This window comes from Homo sapiens, chromosome 12, assembly GCF_000001405.40.
Source record: "Homo sapiens chromosome 12, GRCh38.p14 Primary Assembly".
NCBI lineage: Eukaryota > Metazoa > Chordata > Mammalia > Primates > Hominidae > Homo > Homo sapiens.
Window position 1 is genome coordinate 106,848,232 of NC_000012.12, and position 12,880 is coordinate 106,861,111.

Here is a 12,880-nt window from a genome sequence, read left to right on the forward strand (position 1 = left end):
GTACTTGGCATGTTTAAGAAGGTCCATGGAGGTCTGTGTGTCTGTAACAGCATAGGCAGGGAGAATAGTAGAAATGAAGTCAGAGAAGTAGCAGGAAGCCAGATTATGTGGAATCCTGTACGGAAGTTGTAAGGACCTTGCCTTTTACTGTGAGATGAGAAGCCATGGGAACTGGAGAACTTTGAGGAGTGACATGATCTGACTTTCAAAGGATCATCCTAGCCACTATGTAGAAAATGAATTAGAGAGTGACCAGCATGGAAGCAGAGACCACTTACAAGGCTTTGGTATTAGTCCAGAGAAATATTGGTACCTTGGACTTGGTAATACTGGAGGAGGTGGGGAGAAGTGGTTGGATTGTGGGTATATTTCAGAGGTGGAGCTGACATAATATGCTGATGGATAGATATTAAAGAGAGGAGTCAAGGATATTTCCAAGGTTTTTGTACCAAGCAATTGGGAGAATGGACCTACCATTTAATGAGATGGAAAACTGATGAGGAACAGGTTTGGTGGGAACTTCAAGAGTCCTGCTTAGGACCCGCTAAATTTAAGAGGTCTATAAAAGCCTGGAGGTCAGAAACACGGAGTAGAATAGTGGTTACCAGGGGCTGTGGAGAAGATGGGGAGTTATTATTCAATAGATATAAAATTTCAATAATGTAAAATTATTAAGTTCAAGAGATCTGCTGTACAACATTGTACCTATAGAATGATGGTTACCAGAGGCTGGGAAGGATAATGGGGGAGTGGCGGGAGAATGAGGAGTGGGGATGGCTAATGGGTACAAAAATGTACTTCAATAGAATGAATAAGATGTAGTATTTGATAGCACAACAGGGTGATGTCAACAATAATTTGTTGTACAGTTTAAAAACAGCTAAAAGAGTGTAATTGGATTGTTTGTAACAGAAAGCATAAATGGTGGATACCCCATTTACCCTGATGTGATTATTATGTATGGTATACCTGTATCAAAATATCTCATATACCCCATAAATATATAACCTACTATGTACCCACAACAATTAAAAAAATTTTTTTCTTTTTAAATAGTTTATTTATTTATTTATTTATTTATTTATTTATTTATCTATTTTTTGTAGAGACAGGGTCTCGCTATGTTGCCCAGGCTGGTCTCGAGCTCCTGGTTTCAAGCGATCCTCCTGCCTTGGTCTTCCAAAGCGCTGGGATTACAGGTGTGAGCTACCATGCCCGGCCAAAAATTAAAAATTAAAAAAAAAAACTACAAAAAAAAATACTGTATGGTACACATACAAATTTAAGAAGGTTAGAAAAAAGAAACAAGGAATCAGTTATGGGTCCCACCAAGACTTAACTGAATCAGAATCTGCATTTTAACAAGATCCCCAGGTGTTTGGAATGCACATTCCAGTCTAAAATCACTAGCCTGAAAAGCCCTAGTTAACAGGATGACTTCAGGACACTTTAATATGCTCTGTAATCAGTCTGTAAGTGTAAGTAAGGTGGTGGCAGTGTATTTAATATTGTGTTAGATTGAATATCCTCTATATAGATCTATCATAGATATAATTATCTTAAAAAAATGAAAGTGAGTCCATTTTAATATATTTTCTGCCCTTATTTAAATCTATTAGTTTCTATAGCTCTTTGTAAAATCCTATAATTTCTGTGATTAAAGAAAGAAGTTTGGAGGTCAGGGAAGAAATCAACAATGGAGATATAATTTAGGGCAGGGGTCCCCAACCCCAGGGCCTGATCCATGGCCTTTAGGAACTGGGCTGCACAGCAGGAGGGGAGCAGCAGGCGAGCATTACTGCCTGAGCGCCGCCTACTGTCGTATCAGCTGGTGCATTAGATTCTCATAGGAGCACAAACACTATTGCGAACTGCACATGCAAGGGATCTAGGTTGTGTGCTCCTTATGAGAATCTAATGCCTGATGATCTGAGGTGGAACAGTTTCATCTTGAAACCACCCACCAAGCCCCAGTCTGTGGCAAAATTATCTTCCATGAAACTGGCCAAGTCCCTGGTGCCAAAAGGTTGGGGACTGCTGATTTAGGGAGTCATCAGGATGCAGAGACTATAAAAAGCCATAAAACTGGATTAGATCACAAATTGAGTAAAAATAATGAAGTTGCCTACAAACTCAACCCTTGAATATTCCAACATTAACAAAACAGGAATAGAAAAGACAATTGGCAAAAGAGGCTGAGACAAAGCAACCAATGAGATAGGAGGAGGACCAGGAGAAAGGTATGTGGGTGGATGAATGGGTGAGTGAGTGAGCAAACTAACAGACAAACTAAGAAAGTTTCATAAGCCCTCTGGGGATCAGTCTATTTGCCATTACTTTTAAAAGCAAAAACCACAATTACTTTTGCACCAACCTAATACAAAACAGGGATGAGAGTGATGTTACTATCTCCTTTGCGGGATTACTGTGAGGATTATAAATAATGTATATATATCATCTATTACAGCAACTAATGCATAGAAAGTACTAAAAAATTAATAGCCATTTTTATTATAAAATTAAATAGCTAGAAAACATAAGTACAGTTTTTTTAATTAAATAAAGGTTGAGTGTCCCTATGTAGAAGTCCAGAATGCTCCCAAATCTGCAACTTTTTGAGCACCAACATGATGCTCAAAGGAAATGGTCATTTTGGAGCATTTCTGATTTCAGATTCTAGGATTAAGGATGCTTAATCCAGATGTATGTATAACACGAGATATTTCAAAATCCCCCCAAAATAGAAGTCCGAAGCACTTCTGGTCCCAAGCATTTTGGATAAGGTATACTCAACCTATACTGAAAATGTTGGAGGACTCAAGAGAAGGTAAAAATCAGTATGACTCGGGGTATTAGGGAAGTCTTCATGGAAGAAAGAGAAACTTGACCTAAACTTCAAAATGGATTTTCATAGAGGCAAGTTGAGGCATTCCAGGTGTTGAGATAAACAAAAACTCGGAAATTCTCTTGAGGATAGTGTGATGATACAGTGAAGAGATGTTTCTGTTCAAATGAAACCTCATCAGAGGCATGAAATCACTTGAGGTCTGGTTTTTGTTGTTTAGTTTTACTTGGAAGCTAACCTTTTTTTTTTTTTTTTTTTTTGCTCCTACAATACAAACCCCAGTAGACATTACAAGACTGGCCAGTTGCATTGTACCATCCTCACTCACTCTAGTAGCCTCGATTGATGATGGTTTTTGCATTTGTGCCATCAGGTTTTACCACCGTTGAGGGATGTGACAAATCGACCTGAAGTTGGCTCAACTGTGAGAAATAAGCTGGTGCGCCTCATGACACATGTTGACCTTGGAGTCAAGCAAATTGCTGCTGAATTCCTTTTTGTCCTTTGCAAAGAGAGAGGTAGGTTAAACTCTCTTTGCCTCTGCCTTTTATCTTTCAGAGGGACTTTGAGAAATTTAATTGATAGTGTTAGTACTGGTCGTCTCATTCCATTCTTTCCAAAGCTTACTGTCTGTTCTATTAGAGAGGCTGAGGAGTTAATAAAAATTAATAGCCAAAAACATTTGTATACGCTTCTGAATTCATTGAGACATGCAAAGACAGATACATTACCAAACACACTCACATTTAAACTTTGCCTTCTGTATCCTTAACCCAGCCTTCATCTTAATGGGGCAGGACATAGAGCCATTATGAAAAATTGGTTCAGTAATTCAGCGGCTACTATTTTAATAAGAGGCACAGGTCTGGGTTAATTCCTCTTTTTAATTCCTCTTGGAATTAAAGCTATAGGAGTTTTGGTTTCTTTACTACGTTTTCCAATCAGTACTTACTGAATGTGAGCTATATAATATACTGAATAGAAATTTTTAAAATGCATAATACCCTTGAGACAAAGTTAAGATAGTGGTAGAGAGAAATTTTAAAATAACTGTACTACAGTGTAATAAATACTACTCTATAAGTGTATATAAAGTGATTGTCTACTGAGATAGATCCAACAATTAAAGATATTTTCTAAAATTATATGGATTACTCTGCAAAAGGCAAGTTTTCCAAACAAGTAACTTTGATTATTCAGTTATTCCTACTTATTTTTTCTTCTTCTACTTTGTAAGTCTGCTAGTATAAAATCCCATCTAAGCAGATCTATGTTCTACTTTTTTAAAGTACCCCAGTTTTATAAGATAGATAATTTGGAGATGGAAAAGTTCACTCCTCCTAAAATCTTAAGTCAATTGTTATTCTTAAACTTCATTTCTGATGTATTGATCCAACCACTTAAGTTCACATTAAGATGGTATGTTAGTAACCTAATTTGATCATTATTATAATGGTGATTATGAATTGAGAGGTATCATGTGCCTGACATTCTATGTATAATCTCATTTAATTCTCATAATGACTCTCTAAGGTAAATATTATATTTTGATTTCATAAATGAAGCAACCTGCCACCTGAGAGCCTTTCAATAACATGTCACACAGTTGCTGAGGGCATGAGCCCAAATTTGGGTCCTGTCTTTTCTTTCTGCCATATTTCCTCTCATAATAATTATATTAACTATTATCATAGACTGTTTAGCATCTGTTCTTTTAGACAATTTACTTCTTCTTTAATGACTTTGAAAAAAGATTGATTTAGCATCTTGGAATTAAGTGGTTAGCATAGTGCCTTGCACATAGTTATCTGTAAATATTGGCTGAATTGAATTGATTCGAGATCGGAAATGATCTGTTTTTTAAAGTGTAATTATACATGCTTATGCATAAATCCAAAATCACACATATGTGTATCTATTCATTTTAAAAAGTTTGTCAAAATATATACCAAAATATTATTTATTGTTACCTCTGAGTAATAAGAGAACTGGTGATTTTTTTAGTTGTCTGTATAATTTTTCTATAATGAACATGTATTTTTTTGTATACCTTTAAAAAGTTTTAAAATGGGGAAAATAAAGTTTATTTCTCCTGTAATTACACACCTAAGTGTATATCTAAATATATAAATCTAAATAAATAATTACATATCTAAATAATTTCTAAATGTAATCACATTACCGATGAGTATCATAGCAAATATGGTAAATTGCATTTATAAGTGAATTTTGTTAACTTTTTAAATTTAAAATGGTTGGTTTTGCTCCCTCTTGGACCCAGTATTTAGTTTCATAGTCCTGTCTTTGAGCCCAAAGCTAACCTCCATTAGCAGATAATATATTTTTAATTTGACCTCAACAATTCTGCTTTATAGTCTTTTTTTTTTTTTTTTTTTTTTTTTTTTTTTTTGAGACAGAGTCTCACTCCGTCGCCCAGGCTGGAGTGCAGTGGTGCAATCTCGGCTCACTGCAACCTCCGCCTCCCAGGTTGAAGCGATTCTCCTGCCTCAGCCGTCTGAGTAGCTGGGACTACAGGCACATGCCAACATGCCTGGCTAATTTTTGTATTTTTAGTAGAGATGGGGTTTCACCATATTGGCCAGGATGGTCTCGAACTCCTGTCCTTGTGATCTGCCCACCTCGGCCTCCCAAAGTGCTGGTATTACAGGCATGAGCCACCGCACCTGACCTATAATCATTTTTTTCCTTCCAATTTGATTATAAGTTTAGTAAATGTATTCTTCCGGAATAAACAGACATTTGTTCAACAAATGTTTTTGAACTAGACCCTGGAATTACAGAGATATATAAGATAAACAGTGTTTCTGCCCATGTATTACTTACTTTTTTATTTAAGGGTCACAGACTCAAATGCCTACAGCAGCCAGGCTGGTAATAAAAGTAAGTCAAGTGGACTAGATGTAAGATGAACAAATGAAAGCTGACACTTGGCTCACTGTTGGGGAGACAATTGGCTGGTGTAGGGAGACGAAGGGACTATGGGAGATTATAAAGAGTATGTTGCTACTATTTAGCAGCGACTGATGGTTACCATCAAGGAACATGTGGCCAGGGTTAGCAGATGTTCCATGTTTTCAAGAGAAGCTCTCTGTTTTTAAATGTTGTCAGCTAGTTCAAATTTAAAACCTTCTGGCCAGAAAAAAAGAAAATGTCTGCAGTTTACCTTCAACTTAACAGTAATCAGATTTTGGAATTTGGGTTTGGAGGTAGACTATTAAAATAAAATAAAATAAAATAAAATAAATTTCAAATAATTTTTCAGAATGTCTGAACTGTCTCTTAAGGATATGCCAAGTAAATTTGAAAGTGAAGGCACCTTGATCAAGGCTCAAAGGTCAGACCACTAAGTAGAGACAGACAGTAAGCAGCAGTTATAATGGGTTAGGAACACAGAGACTGCATTAAGAAAGAGGGGCCAGGCGCGGTGGCTCATGCCTGTAATCCCAGCACTTTGGGAGGCCGAGGCGGGCAGATCATGAGGTCAGGAGATCGAGACCATCCTGGCCAACATGGTGAAACCCCGTCTCTACTAAAAATATAAAAATTAGCTGGACGTGGTGGTGCATGCCTGTAATCCCAGCTGCTCAGGAGGCTGAGGGGAGAATCACTTGAACCCGGGAGGTGGAGGTTGCAGTGAGCTGAGATCACGCCACTGCACTCCAGCCTGGTGACAGAGCAAGACTCCGTCTCAAAAAAGAAAAAAGAAAGAGGTAAGAGAGAAAGGACAAAATTTTATGGAAGACTAGGCACAGAAAGAACCATCCAAAGGTCTTAAATACCCATCTGTGCCAGGCCCAACGGTATCTCCAGCACATAATGGCCCACAGGTTAACTTGTACTCATGCCATTAACTTGTTCAATTGAGCCTGAACATGACTATTTTTATCTCCCTGCAAATTGTGTACCTTCTACTAGGGGCCTAAAAATAGGCCTTACATTGTTTAATTAAAAGAAGATGATTTGTAAAATAATCTGCCTTGGTAGGGGTTCCCCCCCCACCTTTTATCGTATTCATTAAATCTCAGTATGTGGTAGGCATTATGATGTAGGGGCTGAATTGCAAAGAAAAATTAGGCTTGAACTCCCTTAGCACATAGCCCCACACCAATAAATTTACTGTAATACCCACTTCAGTCTCAGAGGAATAGGTTGTCTCTTTAGCTTGAGGTTCACTAGTCTCCCTTTCCTGTTGATCATTTCTCTTCCTGTGTTTGCAGAAGTGTTGCTCCATCACTCATTACCCTTTATTCTTTTGTTCTTTGAACTCGCCCTATGTGCTTTCCCCAATCTCTATGCATACTTATATCACTGTCCTTCACTGCTTAACATCTTGAAAAACTAGTCCTCAACTTGCTGCAAGTCAGGCTTTCCATAACCATTCACTACCCACCAAATACCACTGAAAATGCTCTCAATAAGGTCACAAATTACCTGATTTTCAAAAGCAATGGGTATTTTTTAGTCTTTGTCTTATTACGTCTCTCATAACAGTTAATGCTGTTGTCCACTTCCTTTGTTTGTGTACTACCACACACTCCTAGATGTCCTTTGACCTCTCTTCTTTCTTTGCAGTCTGATTTGCTAGCTCCTGTCCTTGTCCACATTTAATTGCTGGTGTTCCCTAAAGTAATCTTTTGGTCCCAATCCTCACTTCACATTGCTCCCTGAGTAATCTTATCCTCTCCCTTGGCTTCTGTTTGCGTAGATTCCCAAATCTATGTATCTTTAGCCCCAACCTTTCTTCTGAACCCGGTCATATTTATCTACTTGCTTACTGGACCTCTCTGCCTGAGTTTCTCACTGGTATCTCAAACTCATAGCTAAAGTTGAATTTATGATCTTCATTCCCATGCCCTTCGACCTTTTCATTATCCTTCTATCACTTTCTCTGCAAACAGTACCACTGTCTGTTTAGTTCCTAAAGCCAGAAACTTAGGAGTTACCCTAGATTCCTTCTTTACCTGTAGAAGTCATAATCACCACATCTGTAGATTTTACCTCCTGTTAAATATCTTTTATTTATTTCCCCCATTCTGTTCCCACACCACCATCTTAGTGCAGACCCTTAAAATTATTTTAACTATTAATAAGCTATTAAAATATCTCATCTCTCTGTTTCTAGTCAGATTTTCTTCAGTTTCTCTTCCACGTGGTTAACAGAGGGATTGGTGTAAAACACAAATATAATCTTGTCATTCCCCTCATATAAAACTTTCAGTGATTCTCTGTTGCCTGCATGGTAAAAACCAAATTTTACCTCCACAGAGTCTCTGTGTAGTGTATTTTAAATCTGTTCCCCTGTTACACTGCATGCTTAATCATACTAAATTCTTTATTCTTGCCTGATTATACTGCACCATTTCTTGGCATATCTCCATGGCTTGGCAGATGCTGTTCCTTTTGTGAGGAATGCTCTTCCTCATCTTTGTTACCATGGCGAGCTTTACTTATCCTTGAAGACCAGCTTAAGCATCATCTCTGTGAAGACCTTCCAGGCAGAGTTCGTCATTTTCTCCTTTGTGCCATTTTTCCTTCTCTGTTGTTAATACTTTTGACATTTGCTATGTTGTAACTCTTTATTTGTTGAACTTACATTCTAGACACTGAGTTTCCTTTAGGTCGGAGATCATGTCCTACTCATCTTTGGATCCCCAGTGCTTAACAGATAGCAGGTGCCCCATAAATGTTTAATAAAAGAGCAAATGCTTGTGCTCTCTATAAATTCAGGCTGGTGAATACAGGGTCCCATTTAAAGGAGTAATTTCAGTACACTATGATAAGTGCCCTAAGAAGAAATGTGCCGGTGCTATGGCAACCTGGAAGAGGGAATGCTTGGGCGGTGTGGAGGAGATCAGAGAAAGTCTTCACAGAAGAGGACAGAGAAATAGGAAGTAGCCTTGAATGTATAGAAAAGAGACTGGTTTAATGTGTGAGGAATCTTTAGGAGACAAGTTTGGAAAAGACAGCAGAGGCCAGAAAACGAGCCCTTTAGGCCCCTGTTTTGGAATTTGAGCTTAGTTTTTAGGGGAAGACGTTAGAGATTTTATCCAGGAAGGTTGTAAAATCCTATTTTTGCTTTACAAAGATATTTTGGGCAGTTGTGTGGAATAAGAAATGGAGGAGTGTGAGACTGTATGGACACCAAGACGAAGCCACTAGTTGAGTCTTCTAAAAGTTACAGCATTTGACTAGAAGGAAAAGGATTTTCACAGAGAAGGGGGAATGGTCTCTGGGTAGAATCTGGTTCTTGACATTCTTTGTTCTTGGTAAAAGAGCAAAAACGTATTGCTTTTATTTTAGAGTGTGGTAGAACCCACATTTGTGTAACTGTCTATGTTATTACCAGTGCAGTTCTGACTTTGCACAGTGCTGCTGTGGTTGGTTTCCTCTGTTCATAGTGCCCTCTAGCATCCTGATAAAATAGTGGTGAAATATTTCTCGCAACTTTTTGACTGAATGCTGAATTGTTTCATTTAGGCAGCATTTTCATATAACTGCATGGATAATTACTATGCAAGGAACAAATATATTTGTGTGTTTCCTTTTTATTTTAGAACCACCCAGAAAATCTTTTGTTTGCACTAGCAGCTCACCTTAACATCCAAGTGCAGTCAGTTTTCCGTTTACTACTTTCCCAGTATCAAATAGGATATTTTATGGTGTATTTGAAAACAGACTTAAAAGTAGCTAGAAACACTGCTTCAATGCTTCTCACTGTGAGGATTTCGTATTTCATTTGTCTCACCTTCTCTACCCCTAATTTTTGGGTATTTTATCCTGTTAACAGAAGTTCATGTGATTTTAAAACTCTTGGCTATACCCTTTATCTACTTTGAAAGCAAACTATGTCTTAAGTCACCTTTGTAACCCACACTGCCTGTCATAGAGTTAGCACATAAGGTTTGTTCCAGTGAAAGAGGAGTTGACACGATTTTCATAAAATTGCCGGGGGCTTTTACTGTTAACTGGCTTCCAGAGAGATTTTCTACATAAGAGAACAGTTATTTAGTATTCTGTTTACTTCTGTTTAACCTATTTTGGCTTTTCATAACCTTTGCATTTTTAAACTCTTTTAATTTTTCGCCATTTTGTGTCTTTTTAAATTATTGTTATTTTGTCTTTAAGTATATTCATTTAAACATTTATTCATATCTCAATTTAGAGTTTCCTAATTGTAATGAGTATTTCTTTTCTGGATCCACTAAACCTCCTTGTTTGTTAAAAATAAGCTTTATCAGTAATGCTTACAATGATAGCATCACCTACTATCTGTAAGTTACTTTGTGTGGGTTTAGATCTGTGATCCTTTGCCTTCAGTCGCTTTGTGTCTGACCATGTCATTAAGAAAATGTTTGACCTTCATGAATATTAAGAATACCTATATACACTGAACACTCATTTCTTCTGCTCGTACTTTTTAAGGATTCCTTCATTTATCTAAAGCACTACATCTTGGGGAGGCACTGATGCCAAGAGAGAGCATATCAGACTTATTCAGAGGGCTTACCCCACCCTCATTCAATAATTCTAATAGGATTCTATCCAGCACCCACTGAGAATTATTACAGAGAGACCACAGTTACCAATAGGTTTTAAGATTGAAAATGACTAGTTTCAACATCATTTAATATACTCATTAGCCCATGTTTCCTTTTGCACAAATTTCACCAGTTTGCTATATTATTTGAAAGTAGGGCTTCCTTTCATTTATCCCCATACCACTTATTTTCGGTGTCGTGAGAAGGACCCTCTAGTTCAGGTATTTGAAAATGTAACAGTAAACTCTATCCTAGAATATATTTATCCTGTCCGTATCCTCCATGATTTTATACTCTGATCATATATACCCACTTTTCTTACCTATTTTCCTTTCCACCATCCCTTTCAGTTCCCCAGTCATTTTAATTACCTTTTTCTGAATCTTCTCCAGCTCTATTTTGTCTTTTTTGAGGTAAGTGATCTGAATTACAGATGTAGATTTTACTATGGCTTTATACGTGGATAAGATTGTATGTTATGTTGTGTTTCCTACAGTTGCCTTTCAGATGACATTTTAACAACATTCTGTTAAAGACCTTAAGTAAATTTTCTCAATTCTTATCTTTTGATTAAATATTCTGTTTACCTTGAAATTGTACCTGAAGAAAATGAAATACTGCTAAACAAAGCTGCCAGTTATTGCTTAGTATCTTCCTTAAAGGTGTTTAGAAATCACTAAAAACATTACTGCAGTGCAAGTGTCCCTTGCAAAAGTTGTGTGTGTCTGCTCATCTTAAGAGAGACATCACCTGACCCTGTTGGCAGGATAATACTTTCAGAGAGCCTGAACCAAACTTTTCATTAGGCTTCCTTTTTTTTTTAAACTAAGATAATTCTAAAATGATCATTTTACCCACTCTTCTCAGAGAAAAAGAATGATTGTTTACTTCTTGGTAGATACTTTTCATACTTTGCATATATTAACTTGTGAGGTAGATAGTTACTATTCTGTTTCTACAGATTAGAAAACTAGGATAAAGCTGCAAAATATCTTACCCAAGGTCAACCAATTAGTAATTGGTAGAGCCAGTATTGAAATCCAGCCAGTCTAACTCCTGGGTCTACCTTCGTAATGGGCTTCATGTGCTTATATATGGTTGCCGACTTTTTATTTTAAAAAAGCAGTAAGTTATCACCTATGCTATTTGCTAATATTCTTCCTTAAGTTTTCTTTATTTCTTACTTCCTTTTCCTCCAATTCCAACAAAGAATGAGAGAGAGATTTTACATTATGTGCCATATTGCTAAAGTCCCAATCTGACTTTCACTCTCTCTAGTTTCTTATCATTTCTCCAAAACTGGATTTTTAAATAGTAAGATCTGAGATCAGAAACTTAAAGCGTGACCCTTACCAAAGGCCTGGCAGTCACAGAGGCCCCACTTTTGCCATAAAGTGTGTTCAGAACAGCTCTGCTTTAGTTTCTGGTACCTCAAAAAAGGCTCTTAGTCCCCAGAACCTATGGGAAAATTTGTAAGTAGTTCAGTATAACCACTACCACATTTTGAAATTCTCTCAGTTTAAAGGTTTACTGCCATAGTGTGTGTCTTCAATCTTCTTGTGTTGGTGAGTGGTTGATGATGATGGTGAAGACCCAAGGATTCCTATCTAAAACCCTATTCTGTTTTTGCAGTGGATAGTCTGCTGAAATACACTGGCTATGGGAATGCTGCAGGACTGTTGGCGGCCAGGGGCCTCTTGGCTGGAGGAAGAGGAGATAATTGGTACTCAGAGGATGAGGACACAGACACTGAAGAATACAAAAATGCAAAACCAAAGTATAGTATCAAATTTCTTTTCACCTAACTATGGCTGTGCCTTTGAGTTGGTTATTTCCTTTGTCTTTCATTTTCCAAGTGTTTCTTTTCTCTTGTGGATTTGGAAACTTTCCATTTAATGGTGTTTTTAGAGGCAGTTTCATAGCTAGTGCTTTAGAGAGTGACTTCAAGTGATGGAGGAAGGCTAATAATGCAAGAAATGATATTTTCAACGTACTTATTATCTTCTCCCAAGTACTAAGAGAGCTGGTGTGTTTAGGTTGTACTGAGAAAGTGTTATTGCTTACTATTTGCTTTCCTTTCCATAGGTTAAGATTTTATAAGGTATAACCAAGACCACATATTTAAGTTGATTATTTGATGCTTTAGTCTTTCTCAGAAATCTAAATGTAGGTTCTGATCCTCCCCCTTGCATAAAAGCCCTTATAAGTCAGTAAAATAGGCAACAAGACACATTAATATCAAAAGAGAAGAAGTCTGGCTTCACAGTGAATTTTAATCAAACAAACATATAAGACTCATCTTTTAACAGATACATTAGTGCAATGAGTAGGCAAACCAGAGACTCTGTGAAGTCTTCTCTGAGTCAGTGCTTAACAAATTAAAGACACTATAATTATTCTCTTTTATCCCAAGATAAACCACCTCTCCTTTCTCCTATTCCCTCTCTATCCTTTCCATCCCACTCGTAACCCTCAA

At 37.2% G+C, this 12,880-nt stretch overlaps 1 protein-coding gene across 25 annotated transcripts in view; it reads left to right on the forward strand.

Moving 5' to 3' along the window:
• RIC8B (RIC8 guanine nucleotide exchange factor B) overlaps nt 1-12,880 on the forward strand; it is a 114,635-nt gene that overhangs the window by 73,550 nt on the left and 28,205 nt on the right. For 21 of the 25 annotated variants that reach the window (NR_147135.2, NR_147133.2, NR_147137.2 and 18 more), the window contains 2 exons: nt 3,219-3,363; nt 12,037-12,181. Coding sequence is in view for 10 of the 25 variants with exons in the window: in NM_001351361.2 (NP_001338290.1) it covers nt 3,219-3,363; nt 12,037-12,181 (290 nt within the window). In the remaining 15 variants the exon portion in view is untranslated. The remainder of the gene's footprint in view (nt 1-3,218; nt 3,364-12,036; nt 12,182-12,880) is intronic. The other 4 variants (NR_147134.2, NR_147136.2, NR_147132.2 and 1 more) reach the window with 1 other exon arrangement.